At 39.0% G+C, this 25,541-nt stretch overlaps 1 protein-coding gene and 1 long non-coding RNA gene across 12 annotated transcripts in view, besides 1 other annotated feature; one reads left to right on the forward strand and one right to left on the reverse strand.

Moving 5' to 3' along the window:
* The window catches only part of BARD1 (BRCA1 associated RING domain 1), an 84,038-nt gene extending 83,570 nt beyond the window's left edge, over window positions 1–468 (reverse strand). For all 11 annotated transcript variants that reach the window (NR_104215.2, NR_104212.2, NR_104216.2 and 8 more), the window contains exon 1: window positions 197–468. Coding sequence is in view for 8 of the 11 variants with exons in the window: in NM_001282548.2 (NP_001269477.1) it covers window positions 197–354 (158 nt within the window). In the remaining 3 variants the exon portion in view is untranslated. The remainder of the gene's footprint in view (window positions 1–196) is intronic.
* Window positions 377–946: a silencer, noted in NCBI's record as "silent region_12296". NCBI's record gives its function as "represses an Ori minimal core promoter by ATAC-STARR-seq in GM12878 lymphoblastoid cells {active_cell/tissue: GM12878}" and the evidence as "EXISTENCE:reporter gene assay evidence [ECO:0000049][PMID:35858748]".
* The window catches only part of SNHG31 (small nucleolar RNA host gene 31), a 153,377-nt gene continuing 128,849 nt past the window's right edge, over window positions 1,014–25,541 (forward strand). Inside the window, exons 1-2 of the long non-coding RNA NR_110292.1 lie at window positions 1,014–1,217; window positions 24,774–24,890. This is a non-coding gene — a long non-coding RNA (small nucleolar RNA host gene 31). The remainder of the gene's footprint in view (window positions 1,218–24,773; window positions 24,891–25,541) is intronic.

Below are 25,541 nucleotides of genomic sequence, written 5' to 3' on the forward strand. Positions count from 1 at the left end.
TAAGTCGCCCAAAAATAAAGTGAATGAGAAGCAGAAGTTGTTAATACTATATCCCCCGGCAGGTGCTAACCGCACGCCGACCCGACTGCAGCGCGGGAACGGAAGGAGGAAACGGAAGATTTGAAAAGATTCTGCCGCCCCCAGAAACTGTGCGACCCGTGCCCTCGCAGCCACCCCCAAGAAGCTCCGTCTTTACCAACGCGAGCAGCGCAGCAGCTTCTCCAGGCGGTCGAGCGCGGCGCGACTGTGGGCCCAGGCACCGCGACCATCCGGTTCCATGGCGGGCGCGGAACGAGGCTCGTTCCCGGAGCGGATCCTCGGCTGCCGGTTCCTCGGCTGCCGATTATCCGGCATCGTCCCGCCTTCGGATGAAAGGCTCCTCGCAGAGCGGGAAGCAAGGAAGCCTCGGGAAACCACAGGGAAGCTGCAGGCCAGCGACTCGAAACCGGCCAAGCTCTTCCCGCGTCTGGGACGGCGGGCCGCCAGAGGGGCGGGGCGCGCGGGGAGGGGCGGGGCACGGCGGCCGCAATGCTCCCAAAATAGGGACTCGCAGGGCACAGGGGCGGGGCCGCGAGAGCCAGCCGCTGGCCGAGTGGGCGGGACCTAGGGGTGGGGCTGGAGGCTGAAACTTGCCAAAGTCCCGGCGTGTGGGACTTAGGGGAGGGGCCGCGAGAGCCGTGGGACCGAGGGGGCGGGGCCGGACGGCTGAAACTTGCCAAAGTCCCGGCGCGCGGGTCCTAGGGGCGGAGCCGCGAGAACACGCCGGGGACAGAGGGGGCGGGGCCTAGGAGCCTCGGGGCGGGACAGGACGGTCGAAACCGAAGTCCTGGCGCGCGGGGCCCAGGGGCGGGGCCTAGGGGCCTCGGGGCAGGACAGGACGGCTGAAACCGAGGTCCCGGCGCGCGGGGCCCAGGCGCCGTGCAGTGAGAGCACGCCGCTTGACCGAAGGGGCGGGGCCTGAAGGCTGAGCGCAGTCGCGAGGCTGTAGTTGGCAGGAGAGCGGGCGGGGCCTGAAGCCCCTCTGGGCTGCCTGGACGGATGAAGTCCAGGTGGAAAGCCAGTCGACGTTTCCCGGGAGCTACGACTCCAGGGACCCTCATCCGAGCTTAACCGTTGGAACAATCACAAACCCAGAAACTTTTAGCTGAGTGTTATTTATAAAAAGCGCTGTTTTGACTGCTGTTGGACTTGGAAAAGCTTTGCCCACGATACTGAAGGTACCACTCTTTGTTCCTAAGAAAGCAACCTTTTCTTTCCTCTCACCTCAGCTGTGGCGTATATTGTAACTGAGTAAAAATAAGGAAAGTTTCTAATTCTAACTAGTTAACAAATATCAGCTCAAAGGCATGTCTGAAAAGATCTGGTTTACTTTTAAAATATTGGTATAAAATTTCAAAAAGGGTTTTTTTTGTTAGAGAGTGTGTCCACCTTCCTCCTCCAGATCTTTCACTGATCGCCGTAATTTACAGATAAGACCTACAGAGCAACCCGTCATGCCTTCCTGCCGCGCCCCAAGTTCATTTCCAAGTCCTTGCATTTTTTCCCCCTAACTTGTCTCGAATGCACCCATTTTCTCTCCGTCTCTGCTCCACAACATCCCCAGTTGCCTCGTCCTCGCCTGGTTTCCTGTCGTAGCTTTCTAGCTGATATCCAAGTGTCTATCCAGGTCCCAGCCAGTCCCGAGACTGCGGTGTGGCCGCCTAAAACATTTCCAAACACAAAACTCATCGTGGCACTTCCCTTTCTTAAAACTCCTTAAAGTTTTTCTCTGCTCTTTGACTAGCCTCTTGTCAAAACCTCCTCTGGCCATCATGGTCCCAACCCCACAGTGCGTTCCCTTAGGTCATTAAAAGCCCCTGCACCTTGCTGCCTCATGGCTTTTGCGCAAAGATTCACTTTGGAACCTGGAATTGGCCTCCTCTCCATTCCTCATCCTTCAGAATACAGCTGAAGTATCACTCCTTAAAGGTTTTCCTAGTTCCTAGACTGGATTCTCTCAGGTGCATCATATCACCTGTGTATGTAGATACACACACATACGATTATGTGCGTGTCCCCTTCTAGTTCAAAACCTCCAAAAGGCCAGAGATTGGCTGCATGTGACTCATTTCCCAATATCGCTTCATGTGGCACATGCAGTGCTTGGCTCCAGGTAGGTGCTCAGTGTTTGTTGAATCATTGAACTACCTACCCAAGCCAGACCCAGCTTTAAGTGCTTTCCTATGTTAATACCTGCCTTAAGCCTTATAGGGACCCTATGAAATGGGCATTAGTATCTGTAGTGTCACCCCCAAATTCATATATTAAAAGTTGTAACCCCAACGTGATAGTATTTGGAGGGGACCTTTGGGTGGTAGTTAGATTTAGATGGGGTTATGAGGGCAGAGCCCCCATGATGGGGTTAATGACCTTGTAAGAAGAGAGAGTTCTCTCTCTCTCCACCACATGAGGACACAGCAAGAACGCAAAAGAAGAGGGCCCTCCCCAAAACCCAGTCATACTGGCACGCTAATCTCAGACTTCTAGACTCCAGAAATATGACAAATTTCTGTTGCTTAAGCCATCTAGATTATAGTATTTTGTTATAACAGCTAAGACAGTGCTCTTTAATAAGAGGAGGCAGGTGTGGCTCAGAGATCTTAATTTACTTGCCCAAGGGGCTCAGCACATGCCTGTAGTCCTAGCTACTTGGGAGGCTGAGGCAGGAGAATCACTTCAGCCCCGGGGTTCAAGGCCAGCCTAGGCAACATAGCAAGACCCCCATCTTTAGAGAAAAGTAAGATTTGTAAAAAGAAAAGCATACTTGTCCAGGATGGAGGCACAGATAACAACAGTGGCAGAATATTAACCCAGATCTTTTTGATTATTAATGGCCCCAGTAAATTATATTTTTGGTCTTTTGAGGGGTTTTTTGGGACAAGGTCTCACTCTGTTGCCCAGGATGGAGTACAGTGGTACGATCTCAGCTCACTGCAGCTTTGAACTCCTGGGCTCAAGTGACCCTCCCACCTCAGCCTCCCGAGTAGCTGGGACCTGTGCAGGTGCACCCCACCATGCCTGGATAATTTTTTTTTTAATTATTTGTAGAGACAGGGTCTCTCTATGTTGGCCAGGCTGCTCTAGAACTCCTGACCTCAAGCAATTCTTCTGCCTCAGCCTCCCAAAATGCTGGGATTACAGGTGTGAGCCACTGTGCCTTGTAGCTCCACTAAATAATGAAAACTCAAGGAGTTTAAATGACTTGGCCAAAATCACACACTTGGTTAGTTAGAATAAGCACAACTAAATAAGGCTTTATTAAATGTTTTAACTGAAACTATGATAGCACACAAACGAACCAATTTTTTTTTTTAACTCAGAGGCACCTAAGAAGTTAGTCCTTATTAGTCCTGTTAAGCCAGTGCTTACTCTTTGTTGAGCGTGGGAGAAATCAAGTTCTAGAAAACTTAAAATGGGTCAGGCACGGTGGCTCACACTTGTAATCCCAGCACTTTGGGAGGCCAAGGCAGGTGGATCACTTGAGGTCAGGAGTTCAAGGCCAGCCTGGCTAACATGGTGAAACCCCGTCTCTACTAAAAATATAAAAATTAGCCAGGTGTGGTGGCATGCACCTGTAATCCCAGTTCCTCAGGAGGCTGAGGCAGAAAAATAGCTGGAAGCCAGGAGGTGAAGGTTGCAGTGAGGCAAGATGGTGTCGCTGCCCTCCAGCCTGGGCAACGGAGCGAGACTGTCTCAAAAAAAAAAAAAAAAAAAAAAACACAAAAGGAAAAGAAAGAAAAAGAAAAAGAACGAAAACTTAAAACGTTAAAACCTGGAGAGATACTATGGTGTTAATGGGGTAAATTGAGGATTTCAGGAGATAGATTGTCCTACTTATAATCCCACTTTCACTAAATAATTGTGTGATTTAAACCAAGCCTTAAGCTCTCTGAGCATTAGTTTCCTTGTCTGCAAAATGGGGATAATATTTATCGGGTAGATTTGGAGGACTATTAAATAAGATTAAATGTAAAATCACATACACCATAAGTACTCAGTAAATGGTAACTGATTGAGGATGATTATATATAATCAGTACTGTTAATGCTTTATTTACTAAAGAATAACACTGAACATTTTTATCAATTTTTTTTTATTAAGGGCACAGTTTTTTTTTTGCGGGGGGGCGGGGGAGACAGAGTCTTGCTCTGTCACCCAGGCTGGAGTGCAGTGGCACAATCTCAGCTCAGTGTGGCCTCTGCCTCCTGCGTTCAAGGGGTTCAAGCGATTCTCGTGCCTCACCCTGCCGAGTAGCTGGGGCTACAGGCGTGCGCCACTATACTTGGGGCACAATTTAACTGTGATCAGAGTAAATGAAAATTTCACATTTTGGTAAAATGATTTGGGACCAAACATTTATAACTGGCGTATTCATACCATGCTATTAAATGAATTATGATGCAGATACAATTAGTTCTTTCTACTGTTTGTTTGCTTTTTTCCTTTCTTCTGCCATTGTCCTGTTCCATCTCCCCAGGGGTCATGACATTCGTGGCAGCTGTTTAATAGTGGCCATAATGAAACTCATAAAGAGAATAAGCAGGGTTACTCTCCGATGTGCAACTTCCCATTCCATTTTCTTCCTTCCAGCCTTGCTTTTCTACAGCTTAGCTTGCTGGTGCTTTGCCTTTAGTGGAGATGGGATGTTTGTTTTGAACCAACTCTTCCTCTTAACCCTGGATCCTGAGTTTCAAGGGCACATTCCTTCTCCCATGGGGTACATCCAACAATGTGTAAAATCCTGGAATTCTTGTCCCAGAGAAAAAGTTCTGCAGGGAACTCCAGCCATCAGCAGGGTCTCAGTAAAGCCATGGTTTAGGACATGAACAATGTCCTCTTCTTCTCACTTTAAAAAGGGCTAAATGGTATCATTTCTTTTTCAGAGTTTTCCCTGCAAGGACCTCCTGTGTACATAAAAGTTTAGACTTGTTGCTCCATTTCACTCCTAGTCTGTTCTCTTCCTAGTAAGCAGTATTCCCAAGTATCCTAGACTCAAAATCATCCATCCCTCCCCCACTGTAACACTGTAGTCCTGGGTGGATTCTGAGGCATGCAGATAAGCTTGCTTCAGCCTTATTTACCTATCCTCCTCTCTCCAGGCCCACTTAAACCCTCATCCCCCCGACTGCTTCAGTTACCCTCTGTAGTGTTACCATGCTATGAAGGCATCTCCAGCCTTGAATTCTTTTCTGATCTTCAGGCTTATATAATGGTTTGTTGAAAACAGTCAAAATGCTGTTTTCTCTTCTGTTGTGTTATGAAGTGTTTTACAAAGAGGTAAATCTTCCTCATATTCACTTGGATAAACATATATAACAAGCAAAATGGGATATCCATAATACCCAGACTCTACTCCCAAGGAGTGTAAAGATATCTCACAAATTCTTACCTTTATATTAATTCTTCTCTGATTTTTAATTATGGTATTATGCACTGGAAAAGGCCACTTCGACTTCCTGAGAGCATTCTTTTTGTCAGATACAAATTTTGTTTGCAAGCACCCCTCTATGAAGTGTAGTCCCCCCACAAAAAAATGTAGTTTGAAACATTTGATAAGGAGCAATTGAATATGGTAATTGATGGAATAGAGCAGACCATCCCAGCATCTAGGACTGTGGTGTGTGCTGTGCACATTTGACTGAGCTTGCCTTTATATGATGCTATTAAGGTAAAGTCATATGCTTTGTGCTGTTTTTTTTTCTGAAATTCAATGTGGCGTAATGATTAAGTACACGGTGATCTGGAGTCAAGCAGAACTGAATTATAAACCTAGCCTTGACATTTCCTACAATTTTGTCCATTGTGTAACCCATCTTGGAACTTAGTTTCATCTTTTGTAAATTTAGGGTTAATATATGTCAATCTCATACTCAAAGGGTTGTGGTGAGAAAGGAATTACAGTTTATGAAACTGTCCTAAACCAGAAGTGCAGCACAACCAATGGACATCCCTTTGCAATGGACTGTCCTAAACTTTAATATATATATTAAAGCTTAAAACACAATAAGTGCACAACATATTTTTCCATTGTTAGGACTGGCATTGTTGAGTTGCATGAAGCCAGCTACACTGGCTTATGATTTCTCCTATGAAAGAGTACATATTCTAAGCAAAGAACCACTTATTCTGTGGCTATTGGAACAGAGATACTTGCAGTAGCAATTCCTATGCAAATATAATGCAATCACCTGGAAAGGAAGCTTAAATCCTATTTACTGATTATAGTCTCTTTTAGTATCATCTCAGATAAAGTATCCACCTGATTCCTAACACCATCGTTGGCATAATATTAGGACGTGACAATGAAAATGTTTATAATTTTGTTTCATTAACTTAAACATCTTTTATTTACATCATTTTGTTGCTCATTTAAGAACAAAAAAAAGCCTAAGCAATTAAAAACAGTAATTTTGTCCTACGTACTAGAGACAGCATATATGAAGCAAACAAACCACCCATGAATATCATGATTAATGTGTATTTCAATCAGTTCAATTGTGTGTATATGTATTGATCAAGTTATTGGCTGCAGTGTACTGTACTGAACCGTTTTAGCATGCCACAGTCTCTTTGACTAGTACATACCAACTCAGTCCCTATGTCATGTACACCTTGGCATTTAGTTTAGAATTACCCAAGTCTCTAGAAGCATCTAGATATTTTAAGATTGTTTTTGAAAGGATGTTAACTCCATTCTTGTGGGCACCTGCCAAATTTCTGTCACAGGCTTAAAAGTAACTAGTCTAAGGACATAGTTACATTACTATGACCCCACAGTAGTTGTTTTAAAGGTTTTGGTATCTTCTGTACTTCCTGATCATTTATCAAATTCAGTCTGACACACATATTTCACTGGTCATTGTTTTTTGTTCAATAGACTTCAGAGTTCAGCCCATTCCACTGCCTTTTATTGCTTGCTATTTTTAAGGAGACACCTCAGTAGAAATCCTCTTTTTCTGTACAGTGTAATTACTGAAGCACATAAAGTGGTTATAACAGGAATTTATCACTTTCAGGTGGAAATACTCCCAGCCAAATAAAAGATAGAGTAGGAATGCCAGAAGCAATTTATAACAGGCTCACTGACATTTTGTGTTGAGAAGCTCTACCACTGAATAAGCATCAAGTCATAAATCTCTGTAAACGTGATTAAAGCAAGCAAGTTATACTTTGAGGGGATACTATAATAAAAGGATGCTGTGATGCAAAGCAGGAAAATTCTGTTGACAAAAATCACCAAAAACAGCTGTCAGTAAAATTTACAAACAGCTTGTTTTAAATTCTGTTGGATTCTAGCAGCTGTTTGTTTGCACATAAAATGTTCATTTAGGAAATGAGCATTGGCCCTAGTTTGGGTTCCATTGTGTTTCAAAATTCTGTAATCAGTTTAATCAAAATTCATGCAATAATTTAAATTTCATTCAAAGCACAAGTGAGAAGTAACCAATATATTTAAATATGCCTCATATACAATTTGTGTTCAATAAATATGGGAATAAAAAAAAAAGAATGACTATATACCATTATCTGTAAAAGCAATGATCAATTACAACATGCATTTCAGCTTAATTTTTCTTCATCCATATATATTCTTTTAGAAATTATGCCTTGTTCATATTGGACTCATTTTACTCTTATTGTTAATAATCCTTAAGAGCCCTTCAGCAATATATTTAGAATTTAGAACGCTGACTTAAAATTTAGTTACAATTATCAGACATAGTCTATTAAATTTCGCTCATGCCTTTAGTTACTTTTCTCACTATCTCAAAATATAGCTTATATATTTTTTCATCTGTAAAGTAGGGATAACAGAAAATACTTTACTGCTATTATATGGATAAAATAAGCTAATACACTTAGAAAAGTGCTTGGAACATATTAAGTTCCTAATAAATGCTAGCATTTACCACTGTACAAAAAACTCTAGGTTCAAGAATAATAAATTGATCAGAATTTTTTTTAGGTAATAAGAGCATGTGTGTATATATATGTATGTGTGTGTATATATGTATATATAAGTGTGTGTGTATATATGTATGTGTATATGATATGGTTTGGCTGTGTCCCCACCCAAACCTCACCTTGAATTGTAATAATACCCATGTGCCAAAGGTGGGGACAGGTGGAGATAATTGAATCATGGGGGTGGCTTCCCCCATACTGTTCTTGTGATAGTGAATAAGTCTCATGAGATCTGATGGTTTTATAAACGGGCATTCCTCCACACAAGCTTTCTTGCCTGCTGCCATGTAAGAAGTGACCTTGCTCCTCATTCACCTTCCGCCATGATTGTGAGGCCTCCCCAGCCGTGTGGAACTGTGAGTCAGTTAGACCTCTTTCCTTCATAAATTACCCAGTCTTGGGTATGTCTTTATTAACAGCTTGAGAACAGACTAATACAGTATAGGTATACACACACACAATACACACATACCATTTTTAGGTATTAATTTGGGAAATTTGGAAGCCGAGTCAAACCAAAAAATACAATCATAAAAATAAATATAATGTTGTGTTCTCTTTATTCTTAAACCAAACACCATGATCATCTTTCCTTCCCTGATTTTACTCACATCATTGAGAAAAATATATTGCTTTGGTTATATTTTCTAGAAAAAAGTCTGTATAATCCAGATTCATCATATAATCCTAACAATCACCCAGTAGTATAGACACCATTACCCCGTTTGACAGAAGAGGAAAAGGGACTTCAAGCTATTTAGTGACTTTCCTAAAAACATATAGCTTACAGATAGCAGAGCAAGGAAATAGTTCCAGGTTTGCCTGACTCCAAAGCCCAAGCACATAAGTAGCACATAACCTAGTTTTAATTACGTTCAACTTCAGAAAAGGATATTATTTAAATCCCAATCAGTTGAAATACGAGTTCATACCCATTTTCAGCACAATTATACATTGTTACTTACAGAAAAAGTTTGTTATAGTCTTTCCTCTCAGAGAATTTAGTTCCTAGTTATTAAGACTATGCAAGACACAATATAAATAATATGAGACATTATAATTAAGTGTTCAATTCTGTGATCCACATAAAGTATCACAAAAGGTCATGGGAGAGAATCCTTACAGTTGCTTAATGAAGATTGGAACGATCATGGATATCTGTGGGAGAGGTGAAAGTGGGAGTTAAGTCTTAGGTTTGAGTAGTAGAAGGGAGGAGGAAAATTATTTTAGATGGGCAAAATCATAGGAATGCAGACACACAAATGATAGGGGAACATCACTACCAGCTTGACTAGAGCAAAAGTGTTGATTGAAGCATATAAAATTACTGGTTTTGTAGGTCAAAAATGGTCAGACAACAGCAATTTCATCTGGCTCAACCTAATACCTATTATATAGTAGTGATTATAGTTAGTACACAGCTAAATGTAATAACGAACTCCTAGAATTTGGGGAAGGATCAGTGAAAAGTCACTTTCTGAGAGGGAAGCTAGCAGCTATCAATAAATAATGGCTGAGATTTTTATCTGTTCATATATGCCACCCTAAGAGATTTGGAAATATGGTGCTTAGCTATTCAAAGAAAAGCCCCATTGCGACCAAGCAAATAGACTAAAATTAAAGCCCTGAAATATTTTTTTAAAAGCTTGCCTTTCAGGGCAACTTGAGCCAGGGAGTAAATATTAAGTCACATTATTAATAACAACCCACATTTATATAGCTTTGCCATCCACCAGTGGTGTGTGCTAGCTGGCATGTTTAGGCTCACAAGAGCCATTTATTAAATTTTCAGGAATTTTTAGGAGTTTTGCCAGCTGTTTGTTAAATGTTGTCATTATTTAAAATTATATTATGTGAACTTAGAATAACTTTTTAAAAACAAAGGTAATATTAAAAACTCACTTCCTAAATATTTTACTGCATTTACTTATTATCTATGCTCTTGAAGTTATTTACATTTTTTTCTATCCCTATAGTAGAAATGCTATAGTATATGATAGTGTGCTCTTGCACATCTTATCAACTTCACATTCAGTGACATCACTTTGGTAGCTTGAAATCAGCCACAGTGAGAGTATTTACAACAGGAATATCTGTGTAAGGCTTAATTAGGGCTTAATATATTCTTTTGTTGATTGTTTATTCCAGACATAGATGAATAAAATGTAATAATACAGAATACATTTACTTCAGTATCTTGAAAGCAGCCATGGTGAGAGTATTTACACCAAGAATATTGGTGTAAGGCTTAATTAGGGCTTAATATATTTCATTGATTGTTTATTCTAAACGTACATGAGAAAAATGTAATAATGCAGGTTACTTTTAAATATATGTCATGTCTGCCATGGCAAAAGAAATATATTATGGACTTTGGGGACTCAGGAGGAAGGTGAGAGTGGGGTGAGAGATAAAAGACTACACATTGGGTACAGTGTATACCGTTTGGGTGACGGGTGCACCAAAATCTCAGAAATCACCACCAAAGAACGTATTCATGTAACCAAAACCACCTGTTTCCCAAAAACTATTGAAATAAAATAAAATACATTTTAAAAATGTTTAAAAAGTATGTCATGTCTATAGATGTTGTATTGTGAATAGGTACAAAAATTGGTGATATATATCTATATCTATCTATATAGGTAGATATAGATATAGGTATTTTTGAGAGGGAGTCTCACTCTGTGCCCAAGCTGGAGTGCAGTGGTGCCATCTCGGCTCACTGCAATCTCCGCCTCCTGGGTTTAAATGATTCTCCTGCCACCACCTCCCAAGTAACTGGGATTGCAGGCACCTGCCACCACACCCAGCTAATTTTTGTATTTTGGTAGAGACGGGGTTTCACCACGTTGGCCAGGCTGGTCTCCAACTCCTGACCTCAAGTGATCCGCTCACCTTGGACTCACAAAGCGCTGGGATTACAGGCATGAGCCACTGCACACAGCCTAAAATTGGTGACATATTCTTTCAGTATTCAACTTGCAAGCAAGTCACATCATTGATGAACAAGTTTCACTTCTGTCTGACTCTAATACAAATATCAACCAACATATATGTTGCAACTACACTCAGAATGCTCATTGTTCAACATTTACCAGCATGTCAGTGCATCTACCTATTATGTCCAGTTGTGTCTACCCTGCCTACCACCGTGTGGAAATCTCAGGCTGTGTTTGACATTTAGTCGCAAACACAGTGCTGTTGGCACAACATGGGATCCAGACTTTGCCTCCTCTCAGGATCTGTCACTGAGCTCCATAGTGATGTTTACTGCCTAGACTCAGAAGCTTGGCATGCTGGCTGGGCACAGTGGCTCACGCCTGTAATCGCAGCACTTTCGGAGGCTGAGGCAGGCGGATCACCTGAGATCAGGAGCTCGAGACTAGCCTGGCCAACATGGTGAAACCCCATCTCTACTAAAAATACAAAATTAGCCGAGCATGGTGGCGCGTACCTATAATCCCAGCTACTCGGGAGGCTGGGGCAGGAGAATCATTTGAACCTGGGAGGTGGAGACTGCAGTGAGCCGAGATCATGTCATTGCACTCCAGCCTGTGCAAAACGTGAAACTCCTTCTCAATAAATAAATAAATAAAAGAAGCTTGAAGCTTGGCATGCTCTGAGGTCATGAGCTCCTCGCTCCTTCAAGCCCCTCAACCCCTCCAGTCCAAAACTCTCCCTAGGTGCTGCCTTTACAAGGTACTCCATTTCCACACAGCTCTACTAAAATAGGGATTGTGGCTTTTCCCCATTTTTGTGTCTACTCAAATAATTTAGTGCTGCCAATGCCTTCATTATTTCTCAGAAGCATGCAAAATTGGCTCTTATGGTTTTGTGCTTTTTCCATTCATATCACAAATCCATGAGGGGCTGGTTTGGAGGAACACTTTCTACCCCACTTTTCCTTCTTTATGTGTCTCACCAACTCGCACATTATATATTTAACTTGTGTAATTTATTATTTATATTTATTTATGCAACACCAGCTTCAAGAAAGCATCAATTGTTGTCTGTACATTGCTATATCCCCTGTACCTAGGACAGCACCAGGGATGTAATAGGTGTAGGAATGAATGAATGAGGACAGAGTGAAGACACATGCCGTAATCAAAATCAGCTTGGCCCTTAGATGCTAAGGTATTATTTCCAGACCAAAATTGCTCTTTTCTCTTAGGAGAAGGCTTCCCCACTGCCCCCAGAGATTTCCAGATAACCAACCCTTTTTGGGATGGTTTGTGCCCTTTAAGTTCTCTAAAATGACTAAATTTTTCTGGCTTTTGGTGAGTATTGCTTAGGTTTGTATAGGTGGAGAGAAAGCTTCCTCTCCACCTGCTGAAGTTTCACTGCAATAGACAGATTAATAGGATAAAAAGGCATACAAATTTATTGAACATGCATAAACATAGGAAACATTTAAAATACGAGATTCAAAGAAGAGCCAGATGGTTGATACTACCCTCTTCATAATAGACAAGGAAATATGAGATATAGTCAATCATGAGGAGTAGTAAATGATTTTCAGGGGAAATTAATGAACCCCAAGAACAATGGCCTGGGATGAAGTTTCTCAGAGTTCTGGGGGAGGTGGCAGGATGATGAGTGGCTGAACTTCACTGGGAAAATATGCAAATAGTCTTGTAGGTAAGTAATCTCTTGGAGCTGCCGTCAGAGAAGAGATGAAAAGCCTAGGCATGGTGCTGACTCCCAGTCAGTTCTCTTCTTCAATGGTTGAACTTTCCTGGTCATTTGATGAGATTTCTAGGAAGTGGGTCTTAAGACAATTGCATTTCTGTTGGAAAGAAGCTTCCTTAGTCAGATAAGGAAATCTTAGAATCTCTCTTGGTGCTTTGAGCAAGGAAAAAGGTCAGAGAGAGAGGGTGGTTGGGGAAGGTCAGAGAGAGACTTTAGTTCTGAGGCTTATTTCTGAGGCCTTTCAGTTTTCTTTAATTCAAAGCACTTAGCTTGCCAATGGGGCATATTTTAGGGTATTGTTTTCTGCACTCCAATAGATTCAATCTACTTCTTCTCTTCCCATTGTCTGAAGAAAAATAAAACCTAGGAGTGTATAAAATCAAAAGTTTAAAAAAATTCATTTTCTTAACATGTCAGACCAGATTTCTTTTGTGAGATGGTTTGGGAAAATTCTTGATTAGATGCTTGGCTAAGACTGGGTGTGATGGCTCACACCTGTAATCCCAGCACTTTGGGAGGCCGAGGTGGGCAGATCACAAGGTCAGGAGTTCGAGACCAGCCTGGCCAACATGGTGAAACCCCGTCTCTACTAAAAATACAAAAATTAGCTGAGCATGGTGGTGGGCACCTGCAATTCCAGCTACTCGGGAGGCTCAGGCAGGAGAATCACCTGAACCGGAAGGCGGAGGTGACAGTGAACCAAGATCACGCCACTGCACTCCACTTGGCCAACAAGAGCAAAACTCCATCTCAAAAAAAAAAAAAAAAAAAAAAGATGCTTGGCTAAGAGGGGAATTAGCAGAACCCAAAGTAACTTTCCATGAGGCAAAGAGAGAAATTAAGTTTAAGCCATGGGAAGGAGGAAGAGAGGAAAGAGGATGGTGGGGCAGAGAGAGGAATCAATATGTCATAATCATAGACTGGACTTGAATCGATTAAAAGCAGCCAGGGAAAATCCCAGGATTGGGGTGGCTGAGAACTTTAAGAACAAGAGTCCTTAATTATGGAATGTTTTTTAGCAGAATATAGGATTGCTATGGAAACAAATCTGAAGTCTGGATTTATGAGGGCTGGCCCCTGGAAAATGCCATGTTAGCCATGTAACTGAGTATAAAGGTGAAGATGTTTCTTGCCTCACCAGGCCTCTTTTGTACAAGTGAAGTAGCTGTATACATTATATATAGCTCATCATGATGTGATGAAAGAAAGGAGGGAGGGAAGGAGGAAAGAAAAGAAAAGAAAGGAGGGAGGCAGGACCCAGCAATCCAGAACCTGGAAATAATTGGGAAAGTAATATTGCCAGCAAAGATGGTGCCTGCTGAAAGCTCAGATTTGTGAGAGCCAGGTTTGAAATCGAATCTTTTGTTTTATCTCAGTAAGACTGGGTGAAGGCTTCTATTTTTTTGTTATGTTTTTTAATATCAGAAAAACAGTACATCCTGCTCCCAAGGGGAAACGTTTTGCTCCCAAACAAGGTGGGCAAGATAGATATGGTACGAGGTGTTTCAGGTTTCTATTTCCCTCACTCTCCAAACTGCCCAGCCAGCCTGTGAAATGCATGCTTATCATTCCAGAGGCAAGACATGACAGTCCTTATGGGTAAAACATATTACCTGAATTTGTTTCTGATCATATTATCTTCTCAATAGAGTTCTGTTTTCACACTCAGTGGGCTTGATGTCGAAGATTTTCACATGTTTCCAGCTTATTGCTTTAGGTGAAGGAGGATGCTGTGATAACAGTAATTATAAAAACCAAGAACAGAAAAAGGAAAAATATTCTTTGTTTTCCAACTATTTTTAATGGTTAGGAGTATTTAAAAATAAAAGGAAAAATACATTTTAAAATGTATATGTTTTTAAAAAGAATTTATAAGCATTTTGAGGGGGACAAAAGAGAAACAAAAGGGATGGGATAACTAATAATGAGTAGGAAAAAAAAGAAAAACTAAGGCAGCAGTGTTCTTGGAGCTGTAACATGTTTATTCAAGCCCTGGCCCTCTCATTTACTTTTTTTTTTTTTAAAACCATTAAAAGTTTTATCAGGTGGAGCGACCTTGGGAAGAAGAAAAAGTCTTAGCATTAAAAAGCCATTTAATGCTAAAATCTTTCCAATTAATCTCATGCATCAAATGGTTCCTGAGAGCTTATCATACGCCAGTTGCTATATTAGGTGCTGGAATTAGAGGGGCGAATAAGACTGACCTGACCCTGTCCTCATAGAGTTCACAACCTGTGCTTCCCTTTTATTAACTCTAAAATGGAAAAAATAATAATTGCCTTCTCATAGCGTTGCTGTGAGGATCAAATGGGAATACCTATGTAAAAGTAGTCTGTAAAGCATACATGTGAGAGGTTATTATACTTCTCTTTGTCCAAACTCAGAATAAGAGGTACTCAGCCAACCTCACATTTGTTAAAATTAAAACAAAATTATTAACTTCAATTGTCAGTGCACAATTGCCTCCGTAGAAAAAAAAATACCTTCTTTAAAAAACCTACCAAGGTTTTGTGTAATTCCCATTATGATCAATAGATAATGTGGCTTGCTTTGAAATTTCTCCTCTATATTTCATTTCCAAGTAGGAATTAAACTTCCTTTCTTGAATTATAGGGTGCCAGAATAAATGGTTGAAGCATTGGGTGAGAATCACAAAATCTAGCTCATTCTGTCCCAGTAGGTAAACTGCAGCCAAAAAAAAAAAAAAAAAAAAAAACTATAATTTAAATAAAGATGTCCTAAGACTTAAGGTGGTAATTTTTTTTATCATACAACATCAGTACAAGATAGTAAAAAATCCATATCTAAGGATAATTTCTTAAAATATTGAATTAACCATTTTATCTGCCCATTCAGAGGATAATTTTAATATTGGATCAAACAGAATCATAGCTCTATGTCCCCTTCTAGTCTCATTTATATACTACGTGTCTTTAAATCAAATTACAGCAGTAATATGTTCATAGATGAAACAACTTTGACAAGCTTAGCTCTGCTAAGTGTTTGTAATTATTCAAAAATTGTGAAGTATTACTTGAGTATTTCTTGAATGTCAAGTTTTACTTGTTGACAAGCCACACCAGTTTTGAAGTAGTGGTGATACCAGCTTAAAGGGTATTTGATTCATTAATCTTCTAAATAAAGTAATTAACTTTTGAAAATAAAGGATACAAATATAGACCTCGCAAGACAATAAAATAGATAAATACATCATCTTCTTTTACACAAGCTGAAATGTTTGTAGTTTTCATCCATAAGTCAATTCATAGATGCATTTCTCTGTTGTACTTTACCTAAGTTTATAAGTAAGCCTAGAACAAAACCACTATACATTACAACTAAAATCAAATGTATATAAATATAATAGGGCATACATACAAATATATTATTATACTAGGATATAAGGTTAAACTGACTCATTCTTAAATTTATAAGATTAAAGAGTCACAGATTGTAGAACTAATAGTTTTTCTGCAGTAAATAATTGCGGATCACAACATTCTGAAGTGCAAACAACTTGGTCCATGCAAGCATGAAAAATAAACAGATCATTAAATTTGGTTTATGCGGTGTTTAAACACGAGTAATGCAGTTTTTTACTTTATAAGACAAGTATATTTTAAAATCAATTTGTAATGTGACAAAGCTAGTAAAATAGTTTTGGTAGTGATATGATATACTTTGATAGCTTACTTCTATGCAAACATGAATCAAGACTTTCATGTTCTGTCAGAGCAACAAAGAACCTTGCCTTGCTAAGAGAGAAATATGAATTACCAACAATACACTTCTTTTTCTTTCCCTGACTACAAAATCCCAATAAAGACTAAACAATGTACTTCCTAAAGGAAAGACTTAAGGTGAAAAATGCCACCATGCTTTATGGAAAAGAAGGGAAGTACAACGATATTCCGAGTACTTGCACAGCAGCCTCTATGTTTTAAAATAACTCCGCAGGTTATGTTTTTCATGTGATACTTAGTACAAATGGTTTATTTATTAAAATACCTACAAGAGACTTCAAATAAAAATATAGTATTCATTATTTTACAAGTTTTGGCATTTTTTAATATAAGTTGAAAATGTGAAAATCAATATTTTAGCTCACAGAAATTCAAGTACAGAAAGAATAACTTTAAAATTGTGAATTTGTTTTTAAAATGATAAACCTGGGCCGGCCGGATGTGGTGGCTTACACCTGTAACCCCAACACTTTGGGAAGCCAAGGCAGGAGGATTGCTTGAGACCAGTTTGAGGCCAGCCTGGTCAACATAGTGAGACCCTGTCTCTACAAAAGAAAACTTTAAAAATTAGCAGGGTATGGTGGCATGCACCTGTAGTCCCAGCCACTGGGGAGGGTAAGGTGGGAAGATCACTTGAGCTCAGGAGGTCAAGGCTTCAGTGAGCCATGATTGCACCATTGCACTTTAGCCTGGGCAACAGAGCAAGACACTGACTCAAAAAAAATAAAATAATGAACAATTTTTAAATTGCTTTCTGACATGACTTTAGAGAGGATGACAGCTCCTTTTCCACAACACATTACTCATATTCTGCATAAGTGAAATGAAGAATATCATGAAACATTTTTTAATCACAGTTGATGAACTACATTTTACCTAATTATTTAAGTTAAATATAATTTTAAAATCTTATAAGGCATGTTTTTGTAAAGAGTAATCATTTCATATTTGGAGCTATATTACTGGTGAGATTTTCTTTAAAATAATCTATTAAGATCAACTGTAAAGTGTCTGAGGAATACAGTTTACAAATATAGCTCCTCAAGTTTCAAACTTAGCCTAAAATTTATGCCTAATACTCATGTCTATTATGCGTCTATACTAAAAGCAGAGATGACCAAAAGGTCAAGTACTAATTACCTATAGTTCATTAAAATGAACTGGGAAGATATGTACCAATATTTTTTATTCCTCACTTTTATGGATGGCATTGGCTGAATCATAATTAACAAGGCTGTTCAGTCATATACCGCTTTTCAATTACTCAAGCCAGAAAGAGACTGAAAATTTATTCAGGCAGTGGGGTTCTCTGATACCTAGACTTTTAAAAAAATAGTAATACATTGGATAGGGAAGAGATCAAGTTTCAAACCTAGAATGAAAGAGATTTGTTTTAATACGCCACAGAGTAATAATACAATAAGAAATGCCTTCTGAGATTTTTGCACATTATACATGTTAGATTGGTTAAAAACTTGATTTTTTAAAACAAAAAAATAGGATTTTTTGTTTGTTTTGGTCAGAAAGTGTTTAGAAAGGTCTCTGAAATGATAAATAAGCAATTTAAAAGCATGGTTTCTGATTTCTAGGACATTCTGGGAGAAAGTATGCAGAAAAGGAAGGGCAAGCACTTTCAGAAACACCTACTCCTATTTAGGAGATTGGATGGAGTAGCATGATCATCTAAGAGAACATCCAAGAGATGTTGATTCAAAAGAAAAAAACAGAGTGATGGCTCACAACTGTAATCCCAGCACTTTGGGAGGCCATAGTGGGAGGATCACTTGAGCCCAGGAGTCCATGACCAGCCTGGGCAACAAAGCAAGACCCCATCTCTATTAAAATAATAATAAAGTTAAAAAGAAAAAAAAAACTTCATTCAAGGATAAGCCATAGAAGGAATATTATTTAGGCTTGAAAACCCTTATTTTGAAGAAGACTTGGGATTTTAGGTGAAGAAGATGGTGCAGGGAGAAATAGACTGAAAATGTTTACTGGTTATATTTTTCTTTTTAAAAGGCTTTCTCCTCCAGTGATAAGACAGCTTAGGGATTGAGAACTGAGAAAAGGCCACAGAATTTGGAGCAAGTATAATTATTTCTGTCCCAAAGGTGCCTGCTCTTTCATCTTTTTCCAAATATTGAGATTCCGGATGGCTCTGGCTGATTCCTTTTTCCGATTTTGCACAGAAGTTCCTCATGCTCTGACACTATTTGGGACTGGGAAAAGCTCACTTAAGGTGGACCATCTTAACTGCTGGGCCACAATTTTATATTAAATACTGGAGAAAGCGAATGGGAAAAGAAGGAACAAGAGGAGAAGAAGGAAGGACAAGAAGATTTTAAAATATTTGATAGCTCTTTAGCTTGAAAAAGGAAATAAAAATTGTGAAAATGAATTACATTTAATAATATTTGGTTTATAACTGCAATTATGTATTGATTTTTAGAATGAATTAAAAATGAAATCCCATAGTTTGGGAGTGTAACATTGCAAAACAATGTTTTTTAATTTTTTATTATTATTATTATTTTTTAAGACAGAGTCTCACTCTGTCGCCCAGGCTGGAATGCAGTGGGGTGATCTTGGCTCACTGCAACCTCTACCTCCAGGGTTTAAGAAATTATCTGCCTCAGCCTCCCGAATAGCTGGGACTACAGGCGCCCGCCACCATGCCCAGTTAATTTTTTTGTATTTTTAGTAAAGACAAGGTTTCACCATCTTGGCCAGGCTGGTCTTGAACTCCTGACCTTGTGATCCACCCGCCTCAGCCTCCAAAAATGCTGGGATTACAGGCATGAGCCACTGCACCCGGGCAAAACAATGTTTTTGATAGTAAGACATGACATTCTTAATCCCCATTTTCTTAAGGGCCTCTCTTAATCTTCTGATACTCAAATTATTATCTTTTGATGCTCCTAACTTGTCATCATGGCTCTTGCATTTCTCTTTAGTTGTTGAGTGGTTTAATTCTTATTTGCTTATGATTCTAATAATTCTCCATATCACTTTCAATGACTTTAAGAAAGTTTGCATCTTGTGCAATATTTGTATTTTGAACTTTGAATTTGATTTGCATTGTATTTTATATCATACTGTCCAGGTACTGGTGCTTTAAGCAATGAGAATTATAGAGGCTAATGAGAGGCAGAGAGTAGTCCATGTTATTTGATGACTAATTTTGTAAGTGGCCAGTTTTGTATTATGTTTTATAAATCCAGGAATTTGATTATGAAAACTCACTCTGATCTCTGAATAGTCAAGAATGGCCTGTTTCCAAACATCCTATAAATAACTAAATTTTTATATGAAAGAAACACAATCTTTTAGAAGTATGTTTTGATTTTACCCTTAGAGATTTTACCTTCCTAAACTTTGTTATATGTATATATAGGGAAAACATAACTATAAATTAAGACAATTTAAAATGTAATTATGATCTTATAATTATAGGAGACCAGAATATGCCACCTCAAAATATACTCCTTTGGCATAAGGATTATTTTGAGCTGATGGCATTTGAGAAGAAGCAGATATAAGAAAAGCTCTCTGCCCTTCCTTAATTTGCCTAAAAGCAAGACATAAATTTATAAAGACAAAAGGGAAGACCCTTTCTCAATCATTCCTTTCTCAACCAGGAATGATTAAAGTTGATCACTGAAGACAACTTTAGAATATGTATATGTATGAATTATATAACACACACACACACACACACACACACACATATAAACTTAGTACATAAAAATTACCGAATGATTTAAAAGTTCCCAAGGGGGATTGAAAAATTGTATATTACTATGAGAGGTGCATGAAAAAAAAAAGATTATGAAAATTCTGGACCAAAGTAACTGCCATGTCTTTCCTCCAGACAATCTCTACGGATTGCAAACAACCACTGACATTTTTTTTTTTCTTTTAGGAGTGGAGGTTTAATAGGTAGAAGAGAAGAGAAAGAGAAACAGCTTCCTCTGCAGAGGAAAGGGTCTCTGAGCGGAAAAGACCTCCTTGACATTTTACTCTACCTCTCTGAAGCTTTCAAATTCATGACCATAAAAATAGCAGGCATCAGATTATGATGGAAAGAACCCTGAATTGTGGATGTGGATTCTGGGGTTTCAAATTGGGCTTCCACTCAGAGAAGTCACCATACTCAGAAATTTCTATTCAATCTTCACATCTGCTTTGCTCCAACTTAATTTGTTTGCATAAATCGGACAAATTGCAATTTGGTCTTTCTTAACGTGATTCTCTCACTTTTACTTGATTCTGCATTTATTCCTACCCCCAGCCCTTTTCCCCTCCTTTCCTCCCAAAGGGAAGAACCTTAACTCCTGCAAGAAAATCAATAGAGATATAAAAACTCATTGATAGTTTTACTAAAGTCAACCTACCTTCCTCTTTACCCTAAGCACTTTGCAATCCTCTTAGCCTTGCTGTATACAGCTGTAACTGATAATGAATAAGATTTAATGAATTTGGGTATTCTCCCTTGGATTTATCATATTTCCTCAATTGTAATTATTTGTACCCTTATTATTCTATAGGCTCATAGAGTCAAAGAATCCATTCTCCTTTCACTGAAGAAATTATGCAATTAAACTTGCAATTAGACTGCCCACCGCTGAGAAACTGCCTACCAGGCCCAGAGCCTCTTTTTAAAAGGCACTTCTGTAGGAAGTTCTTTATGTAGAACTAGACCTTCTGATTCTCATTCTGTAACTGTTAGACCAGTCCTGGGTGCCTGCTAATAATGTGATAGTCTGAAAAATCAACTGATACAAACATGTTATGGATCACTGGAATGGCTACCTTATAGCTGAGCGCCATCACACAATTTCATGCTAGGTCTATACCGTAGATCCTGTGTGCCTGTGGGTTCCATGTCTGAACCATGGGTTGATTCACACAACCATGGATTGAAAATACTCAAAAACAATGCAATAATACTAATAATACAAACTAAAAAAAAATACAGTATAACAACTATTTACCTAGTATTTACATTGTATTAGGTAATATGGGTACTCTAGAGGTGATTCAAAGTATGTGGGAGAATGTGTGTAGATTATAAGCAAATACTATGTCATTTTATGTAAGAGACATAAGTATCTGACGATTTTGGTGTCCACAGGGATCCATTAAGGGATGATTATATTTACTGTTTTTTGTTCCAAGATTACACTATATAAATTCAAGAAATACGAGATGATGGACTATTAATACATGGTGTTGTTAGATGTCAGAAATATAAACTCCATAATCCTGACTCATGTCTGAAAACTCAGCTGCTTTATCGCCCCCTCCAGGAAGTCTTTCTGTGCTCCCAAGTTCCCCTAATGAGCTCTTCCTTTATACTCTCATGTTACCTGTCCTTGCTGTGCTATTTTGCCAGTAAACAGTGGGGAGAGGATGGGGTTAGTGTTTGGTTCTTTTAGATCTAATCACTATCTCTATTGTCTCGAAGGCAAGCCCTCCTTTTCCCCCGATACCAGCATGCCTAGTATATAGTAGGCACTCAGCGTTTGTTGAAATGAGTCTAGCTTCTGAAAGTGCTACATTCTGGCAGGAGGTGTGCTTTTAGAGAGGCACTTTCTCAGGGGCAACTCAGAAAATGTCAAACCTTTTAAACTGCTGCTTAGAAAAATCTGACTCTGGTGACATTAACCTTTAGAAGCCATATTAGCATTTACTTGAAGGCCATGTTTTGCAATGAACAACAGGCTACATCTAAGTCTAATAACTTGTAACCTAATAACAGATTTAATAAAAGTATAAAATGGATTGAGAAATTATCAGAAACCATAAGCTCCCAGATTATAACTGTATAGCAAGGAACATATTCTCTTGTTAATCTTCCACTTCCCGGTGATCTGTGTTCACTTCATCATCCCTAGAATTCAGTCAGATTAGTTATAGCACTAATTCTTATGGCTTCCAGACAGAAATATTCTTCATCTGCCCAAATCCCGATGTTCACTTGTGGATCCAGGTTTCATTGCATCACCTGGTGAAAGCTTATTGAAAAAGTGACATTTTTGTTGAGAGATTTGCCTGTTTGAAAAAATGGAAAAAAACAGCAGGCTTTGAATAACAAGTAGTACACTCAAACTTAATCTGTGTCTATTAAGCTGTTATCTATACTCACCACTTTGCTAAGCCATGGAGCCTATAAAAGAGGGACAAGACACCAAACTTTATGTAGCCCTATGGCACAATCATGTTGCAAAACATTTAATAACATTGTAAAGCAGACTGTGATTGTCGAAATGAGACACAGTCAGACAGTTCTTCTGAAAGACATCTTCAGACATCTTCTGCCTTAAGAGGAAGATGTCAGCAGAGGTCTAAGGTAGTTAGCCCAAGGCAGATACAAGACAGATTGTTACCATGAGACAATGGACTTGGGTAGAAGACAGCCTTGGGGAACTCTGAGCAACCAAGGTAGCATGAGCACAATCAGAAGAGGGTGAAGAATAACTTACAAGGAGAAAATGAGAGAAGAGAGAGCTAGGAGGATACTAGAGAACTGTCTTTACTTCACAGTTACTCTTCATTTGGAACAAATATGTGTCCGTTAGTATTACTCCTGTTACAGTTTACTATCATTTCTTATTTATTTATTGCTCAAGGAATTTTAGGTGGGTTATAAAAAATGCAGGCAATAAAATAGGCAACTACAACTAAAACACAAAGAGTCTATCATTTCATAGAATGGAAGAAATAGAAGGAATTTTAGAAGGTCAAGACCAAGGAGCAAAATCAAACTGAAAAGTAGACATTTTAGGATTTTACACAATTATTATTTTAGAGCCACAGATCTGGGTCTGAGCTTCCTGGCAGTTAAAGAAAAAAAGAGACATCAGTATAATATTTTAATATTGTATTTGTTTAACCCAGGGATTCTTAAGCTGGGTCCATGTAATCCTTAACAGTTCATGAACACCCTTCAAGGGGCACATGAATATCATGAAATTTTATCCAAAATGTCACTTATATCAAGTTGTTTTGAGGAAAGTATCCATAATTTCATCAGAATCTTGGAAAGGTGTGTGACCCAAGATGTTATGAACCACCGAAAAAATGGTGTTTAGTTTACATAGCACTGTCACATAATTACATCATCTGAGGCCTGGGAAGATTAAGTCCAGGTCAGAATTAGGAATCCAAGAGCCAAATTTGGCCAGGTGGCATTTTCCAAATAATGGAATCACCAGTGTTTAAAAGTCTTGAAAAATGGAAACATCTGGCAATATGGCACTCTCAATCCAATATGATAATGACTGAAATTGCTGAGAAATATCTGCTCCTGAACCAAGCAAGTGTCCTCTAGTTTAGTCCATGCTCAGCACTCCCAATGGTTCCAGTACCTTTGCTCAGCTATTTCCTGACTGGCTGCTTTAGACATTTGTGTTTCAGAGTCCCAAATTAAGTAATTTGTGTAGAACTGATAACTGAATCTAGTTTTTACTACAGTTCAGAATGAATTATTTTGTCCGAGTGATTCTCAAACTATATGTCTTCCAGAAGCCTGCTGTTACAGGTTCACCATTGCTTTTTGCTACCATTTGTCTAATAATCAAGTGTTATTAACACATCTCTAAATAGTTTATGATGCGTAGTTGCCTTTTTCATGCCTTTCATGAGCATATGTACCCAAAATTTTGTATTTTATACATCTTTGCATTCATTCAGCAAGTGTTTCTTGACAATGTACTATACTACTATATATTAAAAGTGCCAGGCACTTTTTAGATTTTATATATATATATATGATTAAGGTCATGAGGTCAGTTGGTTGAATTTGAAAAATGATTGATTGGCCGGGCGCAGTGGCTCTCACCTGTAATCCCAACACTTTGGGAGACTGAGGCAGGCAGATCACTTGAGGTCGGGAGTTTGAGACCAGCCTGGCCAACATGGCAAAACCCCATTTCTACTAAAAATACAAAAATTAGCTGGGTGTGATGGTGTGCACCTATAATTCCAGACACTCGGGAGGCTGAAGCAGGAGAATCACTTGAACCCTGGAGGTGGAGCTTGCAGTGAGCCGAAATCCCACCACTACACTCCAGCCTGGGTGACAGAGTGAGACGTTGCCTCAAAAGTAAACAAATAAGTAAATAAATAAATAAATAAATATAAATTTTAAAAAGAGAAAGAAAAATGATTGATTATTCTTAAGGGTATCATTGTGAGAAAAACTCAGTGGCTTATTTGATTTGAGTTCACAGGGTATTGCCTAGCCACGTAAGCAGCCATACTCTTGCCTAGTGTATATCAATTTAGTAGAAAATAAATTTACATATTCTTTTATTTCTTTTTTCCTAGCGTAATTAGCTGCCTACTTTTCAAAATTATGTGATGACTTCATGGGAAAAGAGATTCACAAGAACCAGTAACAGGAAAGCTTAAATAAGCTTGGAAATCTTTAAACTTTCAATATCGGTAAGCAATGATCATTTTTAATCACCCAAATTCATAAGATTTGATCAAAGGAAAAATGTAGTGTTTTGGTGATATGCAGGAAGTATGAAATGCATGCTACTAATGATTGAACAGTACATCTTTGGTATGGCAGAAAAATGTAGTTTTATTTGTTTTGTTTTTGACTTAAGGTATGTCAATCTTTTTTTTTTTTTTTTTTTTTTTTTTTTAATTGATCATTCTTGGGTGTTTCTCGCAGAGGGGGATTTGGCAGGGTCATAGGACAATAGTGGAGGGAAGGTCAGCAGATAAACAAGTGAACAAAGGTCTCCGGTTTTCCTAGGCAGAGGACCCTGCGGCCTTCCGCAGTGTTTGTGTCCCTGGGTACTTAAAGATTAGGGAGTGGTGATGACTCTTAACGAGCATGCTGCCTTCAAGCATCTGTTTAACAAAGCACATCTTGCACCGCCCTTAATCCATTTAACCCTGAGTGGACACAGCACATGTTTCAGAGAGCACAGGGTTGGGGATAAGGTCACAGATCAACAGGATCCCAAGGCAGAAGAATTTTTCCTAGTACAGAACAAAATGAAAAGTCTCCCAGGTCTACTTCCATCCACACAGACCCGGTAACCATCCGATTTCTCAATTCTTTCCCCACCCTTCCCGCCT

This window comes from Homo sapiens, chromosome 2, assembly GCF_000001405.40.
Source record: "Homo sapiens chromosome 2, GRCh38.p14 Primary Assembly".
Classification (NCBI taxonomy): Eukaryota; Metazoa; Chordata; class Mammalia; order Primates; family Hominidae; genus Homo; species Homo sapiens.